The 24,442-nt window shown below is 37.2% G+C and overlaps 1 long non-coding RNA gene across 1 annotated transcript in view, besides 1 other annotated feature; it reads left to right on the top strand.

Moving 5' to 3' along the window:
• Window positions 1–24,442, top strand: part of LOC101928849 (uncharacterized) — a 128,376-nt gene that overhangs the window by 52,715 nt on the left and 51,219 nt on the right. Inside the window, exons 3-4 of the long non-coding RNA XR_001746918.2 lie at window positions 2,154–2,322; window positions 2,475–2,659. This is a non-coding gene — a long non-coding RNA (uncharacterized LOC101928849). The remainder of the gene's footprint in view (window positions 1–2,153; window positions 2,323–2,474; window positions 2,660–24,442) is intronic.
• Window positions 23,835–24,400: an enhancer, noted in NCBI's record as "OCT4-NANOG hESC enhancer chr9:121690881-121691446 (GRCh37/hg19 assembly coordinates)". NCBI's record gives its function as "activates a minimal SCP1, AML or CMV promoter by ChIP-STARR-seq in primed H9 embryonic stem cells {active_cell/tissue: H9 hESC(primed)}" and the evidence as "EXISTENCE:reporter gene assay evidence [ECO:0000049][PMID:30033119]".

Genomic DNA, 24,442 nt, shown 5'->3' on the forward strand with positions numbered 1-24,442 from the left:
CTTGAGCCCAGGAGTTCGAGACCAACCTGGGCAACATGGTGAAACCCCGCCTCTACAAGAAATACAAAAATTAGCTGGGTGTGGTAGCATGTGCCTGTAATCGCAGCTACTTGGGAGGCTGAGGCAGGAGAATCACTTGAACCCAGGAGGCGGAGGTTGCAGTGAGCTCAGATCGCACCACTGCACTCCAGTCTGGGCGACAGAGTGAGACTGTCTCAAAAAAGAAAAAGCAAACAAACAAACGAAAGGTTAAAGACTTCTCTTGTGGATGCTGGTTTAATGAAAGCAGCCCAAGTCCAGAATCAAAATACATCACACTCAAAATGACCAAATAGTAATTAAATTTCATTTTCTGAACCCTTTGTCTTCACTTTATTTTGACCTCTGCAGCCCCACCAGCTTCAGAGTAATATATACCACACCTCATATCCTTATTTACAAGTCCTTGGGAGAAATCATGCATATAGCTGACATTTTTTAGTTGAGAGCACAATTAGAAATAGTTTTGAAATGGCTTACTCCGGAATTTACAAATTTGGGGTGTGTGCAGTGGTTAGAATGGAGCTAAGGTTGAGGAGGAAAAGGAGACAAAATGTTAGAAAGACAAAATGTGTTTTTAAAGGCTTGAGAAAAATTATTCTAAAAGAATCCTCTTGTCTGCGCTGCTTTTGTTTAAATAAATACTGCATTTAAATCAGAGTCCATTTAGCCAGGACTTTGGGATAGAACTTTCAGGTCCTGTCTTATGCAAACCTGCATCCAAAGTCTGGCTTTAATACTTCCTGTGTATGTTCTTATACAAGTGACTTGATCCCTTTATGCAGCTATTTCCTTATACGCAAAATGCAGGTATTAGCAGTACCTGTCTCCCAGGGTTGTCATGAGCATGAAATCACACAATTCTTAGCCTGCAGTTGTAAGAGGTCTATATAAGGTTTTGAGAACTGAAGTGTCTCCAGAGTGTTGCACTGCTATTATGATCAGGCCCCAGAAGTTCCTAATCCATGCCTTTTTATTATTATTCCACGTCTGCCTTTTCTAGCCATTAACACCAGTGGATATAAACTCTGCAAAAACAGAGGGGTTTGTCTGTTTAGTTTCCTACTGTACTTCCAACAACTTAACTAATACCTAGAACACAGTAGACATTCAATAAATACATGTAGAATAAATGAATGCTATAAAAGAAAAACCAGAATGGTAATGACATACCACGTTATTAGTAGCTAGTTAGGTAGACTAGCATCTTCTTCCCTGATCCAACCAAAGCAGGGTACAAAATCCTTAAGAGCTCAGATTCTGAATGCAGATTACACAGATTTTCAATCCCGATTTCACTACTTATTAAATATTTAACAGCGGGAAAGTTAAATGATTCCTCTGACCTCTGTTTTCACATGTGTAAGACGAAGACAACACTGACACTTCCATTATGTGGTTTTGAGTGAGAGTTAGATAAATTATATAAAGAGTTTAGAAAAGTTGCTAGCATGTAGAATGTGCTATATGTATTAAATATTACTACTAGTGTTTTTATCATTTTGTTTAGTGACATGTAGATTACAAAGCAGACCTATTATTGATATTCCTAAATCTGTCTGTTTATTAATTGCATATATCATGTCATTTGATGTTCATGAATAATCAAATACGGGAAGTGCTTTACCCATTGTACAGTTGAGATAACTAAGGCTCACAGATGGAATTAATTTGCCAAGATCACACATAGTTAGTAAGTAGCAGAAGTGAGACATAAGCTTGATCTGAGTAACACCAAACTTTACTCCAGTGTCCAGCAAAGAGCATGGAAGATTGTTTATATTTACAAGTCACTTAGAAAGGTTTTTCCATACCACATTACTGACCCTTGTCCATGGTAAGACACAAGAAGCATTCCTTAGTGATACTATATGTTTCTCTAATTTTTTTCCCTTTATCAAAGTGTCTGTCTCACAATAAACTTTCATATGGTAGACATGTAAGGGAAATGCTATTGATTGTGGCTACATTTTGTGAGATACCTATGACATTCTAGGCCAACACTCCATTCTTTACAGTCTCTCTCATCAATTTCACACAATGATTCCATAAGATGAACACAATTATTGACATCTTAGCTGACAAAAATTCAGAAGTTATGTATTTTTCCCCAGGCACCCCAGTTGATAAATAGCAGAATTGGAATTTAAACAGGCCTGGTGACCCAAAAACTTGACTCTATATCTTACCCTGAAGAAATATGCAAGTGATATCAAGCCTGATATTGAAACTTTAGTCCACTTCATCAGACTTTGGAAAAAAACGTGACACTCAACATAGCAGGTGGGTGATCAGATTGGTTTCTCTCTCTCTCTCTCTCCTGACTCCAGCTTGCCATGGACAAAATAGAAATAATGAAGTGTCAATAACTAAAAGTTTATTCCTGGCTAACAGCTGATGAGTGTTTTCAGAGGCTCCTGTTTTTTGACCTTTAGGTGCCCTAGACAATGACGGAATCTCGTTGAAAGCTCTTTAAGCTGAAATTAATTTATGCTCGACAGTGATTAAAAGAGAAAGTGAGAAGGGGATGGAAATTAACAAATCCATCTTTATTGCTGAGATCCCATTATGATTATAAGGAGAGAGAAAAATCAACGTGGCGGGTGCCAGCTGCAATCTGGTAAGGAGTTTAAACAGCCCATCCTGCTTGGGAAATGCCCTTGGGTGGACAGATTTATCTGTCACTGAGGCTCTCAGAGAGAGGGGCTTATTTATCAAGGACTGGAATGCTGAGGTCCTTAACTTACTTTTGGAATAAGAGGCTGGGTCGTAGAAATAGCTGCCAGGGTAATAGGCCAAAAATTTTGACAGACAAGGTCTCTTGAAAGGCAAATTTTTCTGGTGCATCCAGGAACAGAAATGGCTAAACTGCTGAATTGCCATGCCCTGGGTTCCTGTTGGGTCAGTCTCTTTCTCTTGGGTACATGCCTTTGAGTACCTTTATACTGCAACTCATCATGTGCTCTTTGGGAGGGCTCTGAGGCCAAGGACCTTGTTTCATACCAGAAATTCACAATGCTCCTTGGACCATGCATTATATGTGTAGAAAGCCAAACAAATATTAAAGAAGAGACGACCACTATTTCTTTATTCATTCTTCAAAAATAATATTTGCCAAACACCTCATATGCATCATGCTCAATAGCAGGCAATGAAGATAAAGATGTTAGGTAACAGAATATCTTTGTCCTCATAGCACCAACCTGAGATAGTGAGGCTCATTTCCCTTTAAAATTGAAATCAGAATTCTCCAAAAGACAATCTTAGACTCATAGCATTTCAAGAGAACTAATATGTGCTGAGAACTTTCTATGTTCCAAAGAGTTGACAGATGATGTCTCAATACTGGAAACAATGAAAGTAAGTATGCTTTACCTGATTTTACATTAAGTGAGTGAGGGCTCAGAGAGGTGAAATGACTTCTTTTTGGGCACAGAGCTAGAATAACTGGAGCCAGAGAGTTTATACGCAGACCTATTATACACCAAAATCTGTTTTTTCTCTACTGTCCTCATCACATCAAAGATATGATGGTGAAATAAGAGCATGAATCTAAGAAAGGGCCTGACTGTGTGTTTTTGCTCAACCCCTTACTGACTTTGTGACCTTGGGAAAATTATTGTATCTTACAGTGTATAGATGTTCTCATTTGTAGAAAAAGGGATAGGATTCCCTGCTCTTCCAGTTTCAGAGGTTAATCTTAGGCTCAGAGGAAATAACGTAGGTGAAAGTGCTTTGCAAATGTAAGCTATTATTGTTAGATAGTTTAGTCTCTACTAATACATAAATCTCCATAATATTTCTTAATATACCTCATAATAGCTTGTACTTTAAAACTGTAAAACTGAAAACATTATATCACGTCTTGTAAACATGTACCTCTTGTAAACATGTAACTCAAGGGACTGATATGTAGACTATGATTCTTCCAATTTACTTTATCATTGGACATATCTCAAAAGGAAAACTTGCTTTATTTCAAAGCAGGCAAGAACATTGTGAGTTGAATATCTGAAAACATTAATGATAAAAATAATAATGATAAAATAATCTTTTATTTGATGGCTACTATAATCTTATGGGAATTAGTATTGCTAAAGGAGGAAACTGATAGCTTGTTTAGTCCCTGAGGGAAACATTGTATTATTGTGACCATGTACAGAGTCATAGTGGTTGCCCTTGGAGGGAACTTTAGAGGAGTAGGGTTAGGATGACGGAGTTCATCAACTTACTCAGTTTCTTTGGAGCAGATATTTTACTTCTCTGGACCACAACTTCCTTTTTTTTTAACAAAAGGATCATATTTAATATTCAGATATATCTCCCTTAAGATTATAATTATTTCATGAAAAATTGATTCTTCAAAGTACTAAAGATACATTAAGTACTGCTTAATTGCTATGATTTTACTCTCAACTCTGGGTTGCTCTGAGATGGAGATTCAAGTGTAATTCAAATGCAGTGATGTCTCATGCAGGGGACTGGAAGCAATTGGCCCCCTTTACCTGCAAAAGAATCCTTCCTTGCAAGGTTTGAGGAAGCTACATGCAGAGAATTAAGGCGAATGTTATACCCTGAGGTGAAATAGAGTTGGAAGAAGTAGCATAAATTTGAAGCCTGGGAAGTACTTCCTGCTTTCACCTATTCAATTTCTTTCAAAATACAAATCTCAAAATTAGGATTCTAGGGAATTATGCCAAAATGAGAAAGTGGAAAGAGAGAAAGAAAGAGAGAAAAAGAGAGAGAGAGAGTTAGTTTTGTCATTTGACCCAGAAGTGAAACCATGTTAGTGTAAGAAGCAAGAACTGTATGGGAAGAGCCAGTTCATGTGGACTTTAAATGCACAGTGACAGTTATAAGTGAGTATAGCCCAAACAAGATGTTGAACTCTGACTCAGATTAGCAGTTCCTCTTACCTTAAAGAAAAGTTGATGAGTTAATGTAAAAGCAATCACAGGGTGAAATTTCATGACTTAGGGAGAAAGAACGAACTGTTGCTTCTCTGGTGAAACATTTTCAGTGGATCCACATTGACAACAGCATGATTTCCCACGCTGTGTTTTATAAATCATGAGTTTCCCAAGATATTGTAGATGTTACTAGGATAAGTTACCCGGGGAAAATGTGTTTGAAAAATATCAAGTTAAACACTTTACTAGGTTGCTGTACTACATGACTTCTCACAGTCCTCAATAACCTGGTATTTATTACGAGTCTCTCAGAGGGGATATAATATGCAGAATATGAATATTCAGGCATATTTAACAAAAATCCATTATAATGGAGCATTTCTATGGATAAATGTTATGACAAATACGCTTTGGAAGATGCCCGTCTAAAAGGTATAGTCCCAAGCTAGGAGTACTTCTTTCACTGCCAGCACTGATAACTTAATGGCTGCTTTCTCACTCATGAAAGTTCTTAGTTGGGTGAATCGCTCGGGCACTTCTTCCCACCATTCCACCCACCAGAACACAGTCACCTTATCATACTGAGACACAAAGGGGGTTGGAAAATATGGGCTTTCTTTATGCCTAGGAATAAAATAAAACATATACACCACTGTCTTATGCACAGCAGTCACTTGGAAGCTTTCTATACTCTGTGCCCAAAATTGCTGGAAATGGTTCATGGCAACATATTTTATATTCTTTCCATTTCCTTATGTTTCCTGCATTTCTTAATTGTTAATTTTGCACATTTTTTCTTCTTCTTTAACCTATCTCACTTTTTTTCTACTTATGTCTGAGAGGGAACCCTAACCATCCTAAAAGACCCCATTAAAATGTCACTTCTACCATGATACCCTATCTGCTCATCCTATCATACTTGTTTCAACTTGTCTTCTTCCTATGACATTTATAATCTCTCTATTATATGACAAATACTAATTTAAGATTTATTGGATACTCTTAACTCTCTTAATATAAAATTTTGGGAGGCAATTGTGTCATGATATAGAGGGAAGGCCAGGGTCTTCAGAATGAGACACATCTTAGTTTACATCCTGGCTTTATCACTTACTAAATATATTACTTTGGCCAGGTAACATTACCACTCTGCAGTGCTTCTTCACTTGAGAATCAGGGACTTAAAACCCTTTTTTTTTTTTTTTTTTTTTTTGAGACCGAGTCTCATTCTGTTGCCCAGGCTGGAGTGCAGTGGCACAGTCTCGGTTCACTGCAACCTCCGTGCCCTGGGTTCAAGCAATTCTCCTGCCTCAGCCTCCCGAGTAGCTGAGATTACAGGTGCCTGTCACCACGCCTGGCTAGTTTTTTGTATTTTTAGTAGAGACGGGGTTTCACCATGTTGGCCAGGCTGGTCATGAACTCCTGACCTCGTGATCCACCTGCCTTGGCCTCCCAAAGGGCTGGGATTACAGGTGTGAGCCACCACGCCAGGCTAACTTAAAATCTTTCTAAGTCAGGTTGTTGGAAGGTTCAAATAATATAATGTACAAAGGTTCTTAATACAGTGTGCCTTCCAAAGATGAAGTCATCTATGTATGTTTATTGTTACAATTGTTTTCATTGTTTTATTTTTTGTAGCCAAATCGACCCAGCCTGCAATCCTGACCCTGCCATTTATTAGTGGTCTGACTTAGAGAAAATTACTTTCCACTTCTGAGTCTCAGTTTTTTCATTTGTAAAAATGGGTATGGCCTTCCCTTTCTGAGTGAATAGCAAGAAGAAGTGTTTATCACGATGTCTGACATATAGCAGAGGCACAAGTAATTAATGAATTTATTACAGACTACTTCAATAGAAGGCATAAAAACATTTATTCACTTAATGATTCCATCTAGGAAGGAAAAAAGACAGTTTCCTCCATGTAGCTTGCTTTTGTGCCTAAGGACCTGTAGCCGAACAGTTCTGCGTTAATTTCCCTCTTAGTTTTGAAAACTGTAATCTAAGCCAGGTTCTTCTTTTCTGATGTGAACTTGGTCACCTTCCTTCTTATACTATCCTCTTAGGCACTTGAAGACTGTTAAATCAGCTCGGCATCTTTCTCTTCTCCAGGCTGAATCCCTTTAATCTTGCATCCCAAGTTTCCATTTCCAGTTCTTTAATCATTTCTTATTGCACTGCCCTTCCATTTTTGAAGCATGCAGAAGCACAGGAGGAAACAGAAAGTCCTAAAGTAATATGCGGAAACAGCATGAACCTACACTACAAACTAACTGATAAAGGACAGTGTGTGTATATATATATATATATATATATATATATATATATTTGAACAGTTAGAAGTAGTAAACTACAGGAAATTTCTCTTTACTCCCTACTAGCAGTCCCACTTCTAGTATCATCTTCAGAGCCAATAGCAGGTGGCATTTTACAGGTATTTCTCTATGCATAACAAAGGTTTAGCCATTTATGTCTGGATGTTGTGTTCACTTGAATCAACATCAAATACTTACCATATACCAGTTGTTCTATACACAGCATTCCAGTTGAAGTCCTGCTTCTGCAAATACAAAGTAAGCAGTAAACAAATAATGTATAATCATATAATGGCTATGGATACCGATATTAAAGAAAACAGTCATGTATGGGAAAAAAGCAAAAAACACCTTTGGTCTTACACAAAACATGAATCTCCCACTAACTAGCTGTGAATATTGCATGAGTGAACTCTCCTTGAGCCTCAGGTTTTATCATTTGTGGAACTGGATAGGGCCAATAGCCCTTCAGAGTTTTCTTGGAAACTAAATAAACCAATATACAAAAAGTATTTACCTCTGTGTCTGACACCTAACACTCAAAAAACCACTTTCGTTTCCTGTCATTGTTTTGCAAGCACAAAGAAGAAATATCAAGTAAAGAAATCATAGTGGCAGAAAGCCTTTTCAAATAGAGTACTCAAGTTTGTTAACAAACACTTGTTTGTAACATTTCTTCTTCCTTTAATAATCCATTTCTATTAGTCTAAGGCAAACTATGCAGGCCCCAAACTGTAATCAAATGTCTCCTTTTCACCTTCTCCTCTTTTATTCTGCCTTTTTTTATGCAAACTTCCTCTTCTGTTTATTCATAATAATCTGTCTCCCTTATCTGCCCTCGTTTCCTCATTTTCCCTGTCTAACCTATTTCCACCACTACGTTTCTTTTTTTTTTCTTCCTGTCCTTTGAATCAGTTTTTCTCTCTCAACAATCAAGAGTGATCTTGAAAGGTGGAAAAAAACACAGGTAGAGTTGATGATGGTGTAGGACTGTGATCAGGGACATAGGCTTTGGAACCAGAGAGCTCTGGATTTCAATCCAGTTTCTCTTATTTATTAGCTAATAATATTGGAAAGGTACTTAACATTTAAAAAATGATAATTGTACATATTTATGTGGTACATGTGATATTTTAGAACATGCATACAATGTATAATGATCAAATCAGGGTGACATGGTTTAGATTTATGTCCCTGTGCAAATCTCATGTTGAACTGTTAATTCCCAGTGTTGGAGGAAAGCTTGGTGGGGTGTGATTGAATCATGGAGGTGGATCTCTCCTTGCTGTTCTCGTGATAGTGAATGAGTTCTCACGAGATCTGGTTGTTCAAACGTGTAGCACCTTCCACTGCTTTCTCTTCCTCCTTCTCTGGCCACGTAAGATAGACTTGCTTCCCCTTTGCCTTCCACCATGATTGTAAGTTTCCTAAGGCCTCCCAGCCATGCTTCCTGTACAGCCTGCAGAACTGTGAGTCAATTAAACCTCTTTTCTTTATTAATTATTCAGTCTTAGGTAGTTCTTTATAGCAGTGCGAGAACAGACTAATACACAGGGTAAGTGGAAGATCCATCACCTCAATCATTTATCATTTTTTTGTGTTGGGAACATTCCAAATCTTTCTTTTGAGAAACTTTGAAATATAAAATACATTATTGTTAATTTTAGTTCCCCTACTTTGCTATTGAACACTATACTTTATTCCTTCTAATGATATTTTTGTACCACTTATCCAGTTTCTCTTTATCCACACTCCTCCCTTTCTTCCCAAACAGTGCTAATCACCAAACTACTCTCTTCTTCCATGGGATCAATGCTTTTAGCTCCAATATGAGTGAGAACATGTGATATTTGTCTTTCTGTGCCTGGCTTATTTCACTTAACACTGTGTCCTTCAGACTCATCCATGTTGCGGCAAACAAAAGGTTTCATTCTTTTTTTGAGTGAATAATATTCCTTTGTGTATATCTATTCCATATTTTCTTTATCCATTCATCCATAAATGGACATTTAGATTTATTCCATTTCTTGGTTATGGTGAACAGTGCTACAATAAACATAGAAGTGCAGATATCTTTTTGACATAGTGATTTACTTTCTTTTGGATATGTGTCTGTTTTTATGCCAGTACCATGCTGTTGTGGTTACTATAGTTTTGTAGTGTATATATTTTTTAATTTTTAATTTTTATTTGTTCTGGGTACATAGTAAGTGTATATATTTATGGGGTACATGAGATACTTTGATACAGGCATGCAATGTGTAATAATCACATCATGGAAAATGGAGTATTTATCCCCTCAAGCATTTATCCTTTGTGTTACAAACAATCCAATTTTACTCTTTTAGTTATTGTAAAATGTACAATTATTATGGACTCTTGTGTCATCAAATGCTAGGTCTTATTCATTCTTTCTGTTTCTTTTGTACCCACTAACCATCCCCACTTTCCTTCTTTCTCACCTACTTCTGTTCCCAGCCTCTGTTAACCATCCTTCTACTCTCTATCTCCATAAGTTCAATTGTTTTGATTTTTAGCTCCCACAAATAACATGTGAAAAACATGTGAAGTTTGTCTTTCTGTGCCTGACTTTTATCACTTAAAATAATGACCTCCAGGTCCATCCATGTTGTTGCAAATGACAGAATCTTCTTTTTTATAGCTAAATAGTACTTCATTATGCATGTGTTCCACATTTTTTAATCCATTCATCTGTTGCTGCACATGTAGGTTGGGTCCAAATCTTAGCTATTGTGAACAGTGCTGCAACAAACATGGGAGTGCAGATACCTTTTCAATATACTAATTTCGTCTCTTTCGGGTACATACCCAGCAGTGGGATTGCTGGATCATATGGTAGCTCAATTTTTAGTTCTTTAAGGAACCTCCAAACTATTCTCCATAGTGGTTGTACTAATTCCCATCAATATTGCAAAAATATATGAAGGTTCTTTTCTCCACATCCTCCCTGGCATTTGTTATTGCCTGTCTTTTGAATATAAGCGATTTTAGCTGGGATGAGACACTATCTCATTATAGTTTTGATCTGCATTTCTCTGATGATTAACGATGTTGCACACCTTTTCATATGCTTATTTGCCATTTGTATGTCTTCTTTTGATAAACGTCTATTCAAATCTTTTGCCCATTTTTTAAATTAGATTATTTTATTATTTCCTATAAACTTGTATGAGCTCCTTACATATTGTAGTTATTAATCCCTTGTCATATGAGTAGTTTGCAAATATTTTCTCCCATTCTGTGTGGTGTCTCTTCACTTTGTTGACTACTTCTTTTGCTGTACAGAAGAAGCCTTTTAACTTGATGTGATACCATTTGTCTATGTTTGCTTTGGTTGCCTCTGCTTGTGCAGTATAACTCAGGAAATCTTTGCCCAGATCAATATCCTGGAGAGTTTCCCCAATGTTTTCTTGTAGTAGTTTCAAGGTGTGAGTTCTTAGATTTAAGTCTTTAACCAATTTTGATGTGTTGTTGTTTTTTTGTATATGGTGAGATACAGGAGTCAGATTTATTTTTCTGCATATAGATACCCAATCTTTCCAGCACCATTTATTGAAAATACTACCTTTTCCCCCATGTATCTTCTTGGCACTTTTGTTGAAAATTAATTCACTAGGCCTGGCACCCTGTCTCATGCCTGAAATCCCAGCAGTTTGGGAGGCCGAGGCGGGTGGATTACCTGAGGTCAGGAGTTCAAGACCAGCCTGGCCAACAGAGCAACCCAGTCTCTACCAAAAATACAAAAATTAGCCGGACGTGGTGGTACCCACCTGTAGTCCCAGCTACTCAGGAGGCTGAGACAAGAGAATTACGTGAACCCAGGAGGTGGAGGTTGCAGTGAGCCAAGATCACACCACTGCACTCCAGCATGGGTGACAGAGTGAGACTCCCATCTTAAAAAAAAAAAGAAAGAGAGAGAGAGAAAGACAGAAAGAAAGAAAGAAAGAAAGAAAGAAAGAAAGAAAGAAAGAAAGAAAGAGAAAGACAGAGAGAGAGAGAAAAGGAAGGAAGGAAGAGAGAGAGAGAAAGAAAGAAAAAGAAAGAGAGAAAGAAGGAAAGAAAATGAGTTCACTGCAGGTGCATGGACTTGTTTCTGGGCTCTCTATTCTGTTCCATTGGTCTATATGTCTGTTGTTATGCCAATATCATGCTGTTTTGGGTTTTGGTTATAGCTCTGTAGTCTAATTTGAATTCAGGTAATGATTCCTCCAGTTTTGTTGTTGTTGTTGTTGCTGTTGTTGTTTGTTTGTTTTTGCTCTGGATAGCTTTGCTATTCTGGGTCTTTGTGGTATCATAAAAATTTGAGGATTATTTTTCTATTTCTCTTAAGAGTGCCATTGGTATTTTGGCAGAGATTGCATTGATTCTGTAGATTGCTTTGGGTAGTTTGGACAGCTTAACTGTGTTGATTCTTCTAATCCATTAATGTAGAATATCTTTCCATTTTTTGTTCTCCTTTTTCATTTCATCAGTGTTTTATAGTTTTCATTATAGAGATGTTTCACTTATTTGGTTAATTTCTAGGTATTTAATTTTACTTGTGGCTATTGTAAATTTGATTACGTTTTTATTCCTTTTTCAGATTTATCACTGTTGCCATATAGAAATGTTACTAATCTTTGTATGTCGATATCATATACTGAAACTTCATTGAATTTGCTTTTCAGTTCTAATATTTTTTCTGTGTAGTCTTTAGGTTTTTCCAAATATAGGATCATATTATCTGTAAACAAGGATAATTTGACTTCTTCCTTTCCAATTTGGATGTCCTTTATGTCTTTTTCTTGTCTGGTTACTCTAGTAAGACTACTAGTACTCTGTTGAATAACGGGGTGAAAGTGGACATCCTTGTTGTGTTCCAGATCTTAGAGAAAAGACTTTCAATTTTTCCCCACTCAGTGTGATACTAGCTGTGTGTCTGTCATATATGACTTTTATTACATTGAGGTATGTTCCTTCTATACTCAGTTTTTTAAGAGTTTTTTTTATCATGAAGGGGTGTTGAACTTTATCAAATGCTTTTTCGGCAGCGATTGAAATGATCACGTGTTTTTTTTGTCCTTCAGTTTGTTAATATGATGTAACATACTGATTGATTTGCAAATGTTGTACCATGCTTATATCCCTAGGATAAACCCCACTTAATCATTGTGAATGGTCTTTTTAATGGTGGTGTTGAATTCAGTTTGCTAGTAATTTGTTGGGGATTTTTACATCAATATTCGTCAGAGATACTGGCCGGTAGTTTCCTTTTTTTGATATGTCTTTTTCTGGTTTTGATAGGTTAATACTGGCTTTGTAGAATGAGTTCATAAGTTTTCTCCCCCATTTTCAGAGTATTTTGAGGAGAATTGGTATTAGTTATTTTTTAAATGTTTGGTAGAATTCAGCAGTGAAGCCATCAGGTCCGTGGGCTTTTCTTTACTGGGAGAAATTTTATTATGGCTTTGATCTCATTACTCGTTATTGGTCTTTTCAGGTTTTCAATTTCTTCATGGTTCAATCTTGTTTGGTTGTATGTGTCTAGAAATTTATACATTTCCTCTAGAGTTTCCAATTTATTGAAATATCTTTGCTTATAGTAGCCACTAATGATACTCTGAATTTCTGCAGTATCAGTTGTAATGTCTCCTTTTTAATCTCTAATTTTACTTATTTGAGTGTACTCTCTGTTTTTCTTAGCATGGCTAAAGATTTGTTAATTTTATTTATCTTTTCATTTTATTGAACTTCTGTATTGTTTTCTTCATTTATTTCATTTATTTCTCTTCTGATCTTTTTTATTTTTTTTCTTCTAATTTTGGGTTTGGTTTGATCTTGCTTTTCTAGTTCTTTAAGGTAAATCATTAGGTTATTTATTTGAAGTTTTATTTTTTGACGTAGGCACTTACAGCTATAAGCTTCCCTCTCTTTACTGCTTTTGCTGTATTCCATAGGTTTTGGTATGTTGTGTTTCCATCAGTATTTGTTTCAAAAAATTTTTCAATTACCTTCTTAATTTCTTCCTTGACACACGTTATTCAGGAGCATATTGTTTAATTCCATGCATTTGTATAATTTCTAAAATGTATCTTGTTATTAATTTCTAATTTTACTCCAGATAAGATGTTTGATATTATTTCATTTATTTCACATGTTTTAAGACTTGTTTTTTGACCTAACATATGATTTATCCTTGAGAGTGTTCCATGTACTGAGAAGAATGTGTATTCTGTAGCCATTGGATAAAATGTTCTATAAATATCCATTAGGTCCATTTGGTCCATAATGCATGTTAAGTCTGATGTTTCTTTGTTGATTTTCTATCTGGAAGATCTGTCCAGTGCTGAAAGTGGGATGTTGAAGTCTCCAGCTATTGTTGCCTATTTCTCTCTTTAGCTCTAATGGTTTTTGATTCATACATCCAGGTGCTTCAGCATTGGGTGCATATATATTTACAATTATTATAATCTCTTGCTGAATTGACCCCTTTATCATTATATAATGATCTTCCTTGTATCTTCTTACCATTTTTGTCTTTAAATATATTTTGTCTAAGTATAGCTACTCCTGCTCCTTTTAGGTTTTCATCGACATGGAATATCTTTTTCAATTCCTTTATTTTTACTCTATGCGTATTTTTATAGGCGAATTACATCTCTTGTAGGCAAACGCTCACTGGGTCTTGCTTTTTAATCTATTTGGCCACTCTATATCTTTAGATTGAAGAGTTTTGTCCCCTACATTCAATGTTATTATTGATAAGGACTTAGTCATGCCATTTTGTCATTTGTTTTCTGGTTGTTTTGTGGTCTTCTCTTTTTCTTTCCTTCCTTCCTCTCTTCCTTTTAGTGAAGATAATTTTCTCTGGTCATAGGATTTAATTTCTTCCTTTTCATTTTTCATGTATCTATTGTATGTTTTTCAATTTGAGGTTACCATGAAGCTTAAAAATCTATCTTATAACATATTATTTTAAATTGATAACAACACTGTTTTAAATAGAAAACAGTGTTGTTTTCTAACACGTTATTTCTTTCTAAGCAAAATGAAAACTAATAAAAACTGTGCTCTACCTTTGTACCCCTGCTTTTTAACTTTTTGTTGTTTCACTTTATGTCTTAGTTTACTATGTCTTGAAAAGTTGCAGGTATTATTTTTATTAGTTCATAGTTTAGCCTTTCTACTTAAGAGTAGTTTACACACCAAATTACAGGTTTTAATAATCTCTGTTTTTCTGTGTGCTTTACCAGTGAGTTTTGTACCTTCAGATGATATTTTATTGCTCATTAACATCCTTTTTTTCCATATTGAAGAACTTCTAGCATTTCTTGTAGGACATATTTGGTGTTGATGAAATCCCTCAACTTTTGTTAGTCTGTCAAGACACTTCTTTCTCCTTCATGTTTGAAGGTTATTACCACCAGATATACTATTCTAAGGTAAAAGGTTTTTTTTTCTTAAGCACTTTAAATATGTCATACCATTCTTTCCTGGCCTGTAAGATTTCCACTGATAAGTCTGCTGCCAGATTACTGGAGCTCCATTGTTTGTAATTTATTTTTTTTCTTCTGCTGCTTTTAGAATTCTTTCTTTATATTTGATCTTTAGGAGTCTGATTATTAAATGCTTTGAAGTAGTCTTCTTTGGGTTAAATCTGTTTTGTATTCTATAACCTCTTCTAGTTGAATATTGATATCTTTCTCTAGGTTTGGAAAGTTCTCTGATATTATCCTTTCGATAAACTTTCTAAACCTATCTCTTTTTCTATCTCCTGTTTAAGGCCAATAACTCAGATTTGCCCCTTTAAGGCTATTTTCTAGATCTTGTAGATGTGCTTCTTTTCAAAAAAAAAAAAAACCTTTTTTTTTTTTTGCCTCCTCTGACCATGCATTTTCAAACAGTCTGTCTTCAAGCTCACTAATTCTTTCCTCTGCTTGATCAATTTTGCTATTAAGACATTGATGCATTCTTCAGCAGGTCAACTGCATTTTTCACCTCTAGAATTTCTGTTTGAGTCTTTTTAATTATTTCAATTTTTGGTGAATTTATTTGATAGAATGCTGGATTCCTTTTCTGTGTTATTTTGAATTTCTTTGAGTTTCCTCAACACAACTATTTTGAAGTAATTGTCTGAAATGACACATATCTGTATGTCTCTGTAATTGGTCTCTAGTGACTTATTTAGTTCATTTGGTGAGGTCTTGTTTTCCTGGTTGTTCTTGATGCTTGTAGATCTTTGTCAGTGTCTGGGCATTGACGAGATGGGCATTTATTGTGATTTTCACAGTCTAAACTTGTTTGTGCCTATCCTTCTTGGGAAAGCTTTCCAAGTATTCGAAGGGATTTGGGCCCCAAGCCCAATAAAGCTGTTATTTCTCTTGTTATTGATTTCTAGTTTTATTCCAGAGAAGATGGAATTCCAGAGAAGATGGTTTTTGCAGACTCAAAGAGGTACTATCTTGACTGTCTTGGATAAGATATGGTAGAATTCTTTGGATTACCAGGCGGATACTCTTGTTATTTTCTTTTACATCCTCCCCCCAAAATAGTCTGTCTCTCTCTGTTTGAACCACCCAGAACTGGGGAGGGGGACACAAGCACCTCTGGGGAGGGGGACACAAGAACCACCTAGAACTGGGGAGGAGGACACAAGGCCATCACCACTGGTTCAGATCTGAAGTGAGCACAGCCCTAGGTCCCAGCCAAGGCCTGCTATAACCACTACCTAACTACCGTCTATGTTCACTCAAGGCCCTAGGGCTCTGTGATCAGCAAGTGGCAAAGCCAGCCTCGTTTGTGTCCCTCCCTTCAGGAAAGTGAGTTCTCCCAGGGCCTGGGTGGGCCCAGAGATGCTATCTGGAAGGCAGGGGTTAGAGTAAAAAAACCTTAGAAATTTACTTGATGTTCCATTCTACTGCAGCTAAGCTGGCATTCAAACTACAAGACAAAATACTTCCTACTCTTTCCTCCCATTTCCACAGGCATAAGAGGCTCTTTCTGTAGCCACCACCACCACCAGCCCACAGGGTATTCACCAGGCCACCCTAAGTGATGTGTCACATCAGTTCTATCACATCACATGTGAACTGATGTTCACATAGACCCCAAGGGCTCTTCAGTCAGCTTGTGGTGAATGATGCCACACTTGGGACTCACCCTTCAGGGCAGTGGGCTCATCTCTGGCCCAGGGCAGGTCCAGAACTGTCATCCAAGAGCCTAGACCTTGGCTCAGGGACCCCAAGAACCTGCTTGGTGCTCCACCCCACTGTGGTGGCTGAGCTTTTGCATAGGATGCAAGACAAAGTCCCCTTTAATTTTTCCTCCTTTTTTCAAACAGAAGGAGTTTTTCACCATAGCCACCACAGCTGGAAATGAGCTGGATCACACCTGAAGCCAGCATATCTGAGAGCCCAAGGCCCATGGCATACTACGGGGATTTTGCTCTTGGTTATTTGGGGCCCAAGGGTTCTTTAGTCAGTGGGTAATGAATCTTGTCAGGAATGGTTCCTTCCCTTCAAGGCAGTGGGTTCCCTTTTGGCCCAAGTTGTGTCTAGAAGTGTTGTCCATGAGCTAGGGCTTGGAATGCGGGCCTCTTGACTCTGCCTGGCACCCTATCCTACTGTGGCTGAGCTGGTATCAAAGGTGCAACACAAAGTTCTCTTTATTCTTTGCTTGCCTCTGCTCAGGCAGAAGAAAGGAGTCACTTTTGTTGTTGTGCACTCCACTGGCTGGGGTTGGGGAAGAAGTGGTGCAAGCACTCCCTTACCCACCTCATCTGATTTCTCCCTAGGTCACATGCCACCCTAGTCCACTAGCTCTAAGCCTAGCCCAGCACTAGGAGTTGCCTAGGAATTGGAGTCCTTGTGTCCTAGACTGCCTTTCAAGTTTATCTAGAACTTCACAGCACTTTGGCTCACAGTGGTGAGGCCTGCCAAGAAACACAAGTTCCAACTGCTATGATGGGTAATTCCTCTCTGGCTAGATCTGGTCCAAATTCTCCCTGCATGTGTGGGCATCAGCTGAGCACAGCATGGCTTTGCTCTCCACTATGACAGGACAGCATTGAGTCCAATGTAAAGCTCACCAGTTACTGTGCTTGCCCTCCCCCAAGCACAGAGATTCTGTCTCCATGCTGCTGGGGGATGGGGGTGGGATGGTATCCGTGATTCAGTACTATCTTTCCTACCCTGTTCAGTGCCTCTTTCACCACAGGAAGTTAAAAACAAGCACTTTTGGCTTAGGATTGACTTGGCGATGCGGGCTCTTTTTTGGTTCCATATGAACTTTAAAGTAGTTTTTTCCAATTCTGTGAAGAAAGTCATTGGTGGCTTGATGGGGATGGCATTGAATCTATAAATTACCTTGGGCAGTATGGCCATTTTCACGATATTGATTCTTCCTACCCATGAGCATGGAATGTTCTTCCATTGAAAGAACAAAGCTGGAGACATCATGCTACCTGACTTCAAACTATACTACAAGGCTACAGTAACCAAAACAGCATGGTACTGGTACCAAAACAGAGATATAGATCAATGGAACAGAACAGAGCCCTCAGAAATAATGCTGCATATCTACAACTATCTGATCTTTGACAAACCTGAGAAAAACAAGAAATGGGGAAAGGATTCCCTATTTAATAAATGGTGCTGGGAAAACTGGCTAGCCATATGTAGAAAGCTGAAACTGGATCCCTTCCTTACACCTTATACGAAAATTAATTCAAGATGGATTAAAGACTTAAACGTTAGACCTAAAACCATAAAAACCCTAGAAGAAAACCTAGGCATTACCATTCAGGACATAGGCATGGGCAAGGACTTCATGTCTAAAACACCAAAAGCAATGGCAACAAAAGCCAAAATTGACAAATGGGATCTAATTAAACTAAAGAGCTTCTGCACAGCACAAGAAACTACCATCAGAGTGAACAGGCAACCTACAAAATGAGAGAAAATTTTTGCAACCTACTCATCTGACAAAGGACTAATATCCAGAATCTACAATGAACTCAAACAAATTTACAAGAAAAAAACAACCCCATCAACAAGTGGGCGAAGGACATGAACAGACACTTCTCAAAAGAAGACATTTATGCAGCCAAAAAACACATGAAAAAATGCTTACCATCACTGGCCATCAGAGAAATGCAAATCAAAACCACAATGAGATACCATCTCACACCAGTTAGAATGGCAGTCATTAAAAAGTCAGGAAACAACAGGTGCTGGAGAGGATGTGGAGAAATAGGAACACTTTTACACTGTTGGTGGGACTGTAAACTAGTTCAACCATTGTGGAAGTCAGTGTGGCGATTCCTCAGGGATCTAGAACTAGAAATACCATTTGACCCAGCCATCCCATCGCTGGGTATATACCCAAAGGACTATAAATCATGCTTCTATAAAGACACATGCACACATATGTTTATTGCGGCACTACTCACAATAGCAAAGACTTGGAACCAACCCAAATGTCCAACAATGATAGACAGGATTAAGAAAATGTGGCACATATACACCATGGAATACTATGCAGCCATAAGAAATGATGAGTTCATGTCCTTTGTAGGGACATGGATGAAATTGGAAATCATCATTCTCAGTAAACTGTTGCAAGGACAAAAAACCAAACACTGCATATTCTCACTCATAGGTGGGAATTGAACAATGAGAACACATGGACACAGGAAGGGGAACATCACATTCTGGGGACTGTTGTGGGGTGGGGGAGGGGAGAGGGATAGCATTAGGAGATATACCTAATGCTAAATGACGAGTTACTGGGTGCAGCACACCAACATGGCACATGTATACATATGTAACTAACCTGCACATTGTTCACATGTACCCTAAAACTTAAAGTATAATAAAAAAAAACAAAACAAAAACAAGCACTTTGATTGTTCACTTGATTTTTGGTTCTTGTGATGGTGCTTTTTTTGTGTTTAGTTACTCGTAAAAATTTGGTATTCCTGCAGGGAAATGAATGGTGTAGGCTTCTATTTGACCATCTTGCTCCACCCTCTGGTAGCGTATTTTGAAGTTAGGTATTGTGATGTCTCCAGCTTGGTTCCTTTTGCTCAGGATCCCTTTAGCTATTCAGGGTCTTTTGTGATTCCATATGAATTTAAAATTTCTTTTTTTCAATTTCTGTGAAGATTGTCATAGGGTTTGCATTGAATCTGTAAATCACTTTGGGTAGTATGGACATTTTAATAATATTATTTCTTCCAACTAATGAACATGAAATATGCTTCCATTTATTGTGTCCTCTTCAGTTTTTTAGAGTAATGTTTTATAGTTTTTGTTGTGAATATTTTTCACCTCTGCTTACATTTATTCCTAGGTATTTTATTTTTTTCTAGTTATTATAAGTGGAATTGCTTTCTTGATTCCTTTTTCATATTATTCACTGCCACTGTGTAGATATTCTACTAATTTTGTATGTTAATTTTGTGTCTTAAAATTTTATTGAATTCATTTATCAACTCTGAAAATTGTTATGGTGGTGTCTTTAGGTTTTTCTAAATATAAGATCTTGTAATCAAAAAAGAACAATTTTATATCCTCCTTTCCAAATTGGATGTCCTTTATTTCTCTGTCTTACCTAATTGCTCTGGCTAGTACTTCCAGTATTTTGTTGCATATGAGTGGTGAGAGTGGGCATCCTTGTCTTGTTGTAGATCTTACAGGAATGGCTTTCAATTTGTCCTCATTCAGTATGATGATGTTAACTGTGGGTTTGTCATATATGACCTTTATTATATTAAGGTATTTTTCTTCTGTATCCAGTGTATTTAAAGATTTTATCATGAAAGGATGTTGAATTTTATTAAATGCTTAAGCTTTTTAAGCTTCTGTTCCTTCATCAGTAAAATCAGCACAATAATATTTCTTTCCACATAGGGTTTTTTTTAATTAACATTAAATAAAATTATGCATGTCACACATTTAACTCATAGTAGACTTGGAATAAAGAGTATTATTTTCTGTATTATATATTCAATTCAGAGACAATCTGTTAAGTACTGAGTGTTATGGTTGGGTACCATGGAGAAGACAACAAAATCAGGATCGCGCTCCTCAAAGAGTTAACAGCCCTTTGGAGAAGCAAACATGCCTATATAAAAACATAACAGTCATAAAAACCAAACAGCACGATTTTCTGTCAAGTGAATGTGTTAGATGAAAGATCACAAATGAGATTCTGTTTTAAAAACTAACTCTAATATATTGGCCTTGGCTGCTTGGAAAGACATGCTAGGAAGAATTCTGAGGGTAATAACAGAATGAGTAGAAAATAAAATGTCATAACTGATTAACAATATCTGCCAAGAAAACAGAGGAGAGACTGTCCATCAGAGAGTATTTTAGGTGGCGTGTTGGAACAAAGAATAAAATGCATTTTTTAGTATCTTTATGAAAACTATATTTTACTAATGTTATTCACTATATGGCATGGATATTGTTATTCTCATTACAACTGCAACTGAAACTCAGAGAAGTTAAATAATATGTCCAGCTCACACAGCTAGAAAAATGACATGGAATAAATCTGAAACCAATATGGATTTAAACACTCATAATCATCATAGTTCTGCATTGTTTGACAAGAGTGGTATAGCAGAGACTGAGTAAATCTTAGTCGTTTTCAATTTTTATTTAGTGTTTATTTTATATCCACAAAAACAGGACTTGATCCAGAAAACTCTCTGCCTGTAGACTAGCTCCTGGTATACAGTAATTACTTAATGTTGAATCAAGTGTAACATCTGGACTTAAACAGCTAAACGTTCTTTATGCGTAGAGGAAAAGACACCTGTAAAATGGCACCTGCTATTGGATTTTACCAGTTACTTTCATTTTTCTGGTTGCACAGTAGGCCTATATTTTTTACTTTTTATAAAAGTTAGGTTGGAGCCATGTAACTAGTATTATATCATGGCATATGGCGAAAACATACATGTCACTCTCAGTTGCAGCCTCTGCAATCTCTCATGAGATTCTTCGCCCAAGCATAATATTCTTTCACCAGGCCTGATGTAGGGGATCTAGCAGAGACCATCAAGAAGACCCAAGGAAACAGTGAAACCCTAAATGGTAAAAATATTTGAAACCTGTCATACTTCTTGGAGAGGAGCCATCTCTGAGAAAAGTCTAGTCCTTGTCAGTCTGCAATATAAGAAAAATAAAAGTGTTTTTCATGCAATGTCATTGAGATTTTTGTATTTTAGAACAGACAGCATTACTTCTCTTGCCTGACAGAGATTATCAAAAGGTAGTCAGTGAAGATGTGAGATTTCCATAGGGCCGGGAGGATACAGAGGTATGTCTTCTAGAGAGGGGACTCATTTACTGAGAAGCACATGTTGTGCACAGTATTCAGGGAATTGGGGTTGGAAATGTAGACAGTGGCTCAGATTGGAGCTCCAGTTAAACATTAAGAAGTTACTTGGTGTTCTGGTTATCCATTATTGTATAATGAACTACCCAAAGTATAATGACATAAAACATTAATCCTTCTATTCTATTCTATTCTATTCTATTCTATTCTATTCTATTCTATTCTATTCTAATTCTATTCTATTCTATTCTATTCTATTCTCTATTCTATTCTATTCTATTCTCTATTCTATTCTATTCTATATTCTATTCTATATTCTATTCTACTCTACTCTACTCTACTCTATTCTACTCTACTGTACTCTACTCTACTGTACTCTACTCTACTGTACTCTACTCTACTCTACTCTACTCTATTCTACTCTATTCTACTCTACTCTACTCTTTTCTTGGTCCAGAAATTTGGGCAGGACTCAGTTGGTTGAATCTTCTCTTCCATGTGGCATCAACAAAGATCACTTGGCTGTATTTGGTTGTCAGATGGGCTGTTACAGAAGATTCAAGATGGCTTTACTCCTATGTCAATTACTAAGTGTGGGCTAAGCTGGGGCTGTCAGTTGGTGTGCAGATATACAATTCTAAGGTCAGAACTGCAATAGGCAAGGTGGAAATCGGCAGTTTACTTACAGGCTAGTACTGGAACTGGCAATGCATCACTTCTTCCATTTTTGTTTCAGCAAGTCATTAATGCTACGAGATTTTACCTCTTAATGGTATCAGACGCCCACCTCTCAATGAAACAAGTAGCACAAACATGCATCCATCTTTAATGCCCTGTTTCTGGGATCTATGGAATCAGGTTTTTAGAGGAAGGGACCTGGCAGTATACATCTCTGCTTTCCCAGTACAAACCACTTAACCTACTGCCTGGGTTTCAATCAGCAAGTTACGACAAGCTTGTAGAATCACAATCACACTCTAAGCATACATCAAAAGAGATGTAAAAGGCAACTGAGTTTTACAGAATACCAACTACTGCTTCAAATGTTTAACCTTAATGTATTCTCAAAGTGATTCTATTTAGTTGTGTAGGTTTTATTCTTCCTGCATATTACTGAAAAGACAACCAAGGTTCAGTGAAAAAAAAAATTTCGTAAGATCAATCATGGCCAAAGTAGTATTCTTTCCACCACAGTATGCTTCCTTCCACATGTGCAGCTTAAATGTCCCCTGTTCAGAATGTGGACTTGGTGGTCAAGTTCTTCAGTTTCTTCCTGGCCCCTATCCACTGCCAGTACTAGATCAAAGCCTCTAATTCTTCTGTGACCATTTATCTTATCAGAACCAGAGGGAACTCAAGTCTCTGCCTTTCCCACCATGGGATTGTGAGGGATTGATAATAAGAATGAACCCTAAACTCCTTGCAAATATAAATGCTAAATAATAATAAGATGAAAAATGAGGGCAATAATATTGCTTCGAATGATGTTTAAGAGCCAGAGATGAAAGGCATTGTAAGAACCGCTATTAACTCTGCATATTCAAGTCCCCATTCTTCCTTTTCTGTTTTATCCTGTTTCTGAAATGCTTTATTAAGGCTCTTTAACAGTTTATTTTACTTTGTCTTATTTTTTTCTACTTTGAGAAATACTTCACTATATCACTGGAGACAATTTAGCCTTTTGTTCCATTTGAAGAAAGAAAGCAATGCAGGCTTACTTCAAAGAGGAGCTGATCAAAACCCATTGGGAATCTGGTAATGAAGAAACTTTGCTTTGTTTTCAAGCAGGGATATGAAATTATGCTATAAATTGTACAAGGCATCAGGAGGTGGTGGGGTGGTGGGTGAGGAGCAAGAGATGAATGCAAGTCAAAAATATTGGTCCCGTGGCCAGTGTTTCAGGCTACAACTCAGAGGTTCATGGAACCAGTTGGTTTTAGAATAGAAGGAAACTTACAGACGCTTTAATCCAACCGTCTACTCTACTCAGGCATCATTTCTGTGATGGCTCTTAAATAATCCCTGAGACCTGGAGCTCACTCATGATCGTCAGCCTATACTTATTTAGGGCAGCTTAAAGTGAAATGTCCTGTCTTAATCTGAAATTATATTTTACTTAAAAAAATAAAATCTACAGTTCCTGGCTCTGTCTTCCATGGGTTTCACAGAGCAAATTCTCTTCCATTTTTGGGGAAATTGAAGAGTTCGAGTTGTTTTAGCATGTGCTAACACCCACAACTCCTTCAGCTATTCCTGGAATGATTTTTGATAAGATTAATTCAGTATTCTGGGAGTCTATAAGAGGACTGGAGAAAGTAATTAGAGAAAAATATGGGTAGAAAAAAATTTGATTTTCTGACCGAAGCTGATAAACAGCTTTAGTGGGTGGAGAATAGCTAAGAGGTTGGAGAATGGTTTCCAAGCAGCAGACCTGACCTCTTCCCAGGAGGGAAGAGAGAAGAGGGCAGTCACAGGGACAGTGCAGGAAGGCTCTCTAAGATTGTTACCCAGATCATGTAGGCTGAAGGTCACTCTGCCAGAGTACTGAGGGGTGATTAATGCTGCTTTGCAGGAGAAAGAAGGAGGTGATCACCTTAATTAGGTGGGTGGAGACAGATTAGTGGAATAATAGAGAGGGAGGGAACAGGTTAGAATTGCATCTCGTTAAGAAGTTCAGATAAAGGGATGAAGGAAAAGAAGTAGGAAAAGGTTAAGGGAGAGCAAGGGAGAGCAAAGGCAGGAAAGAGCTTTATGTGAAACTTGGAAATTAAATTCATTATTCAAAAGCATGTATGCGTGTGTTCTGTGAAGTTTCCAGGGAAATCTTCCCTC

The sequence above is a fragment of the Homo sapiens genome, chromosome 9 (genome assembly GCF_000001405.40).
Source record: "Homo sapiens chromosome 9, GRCh38.p14 Primary Assembly".
NCBI classification, from domain to species: Eukaryota; Metazoa; Chordata; class Mammalia; order Primates; family Hominidae; genus Homo; species Homo sapiens.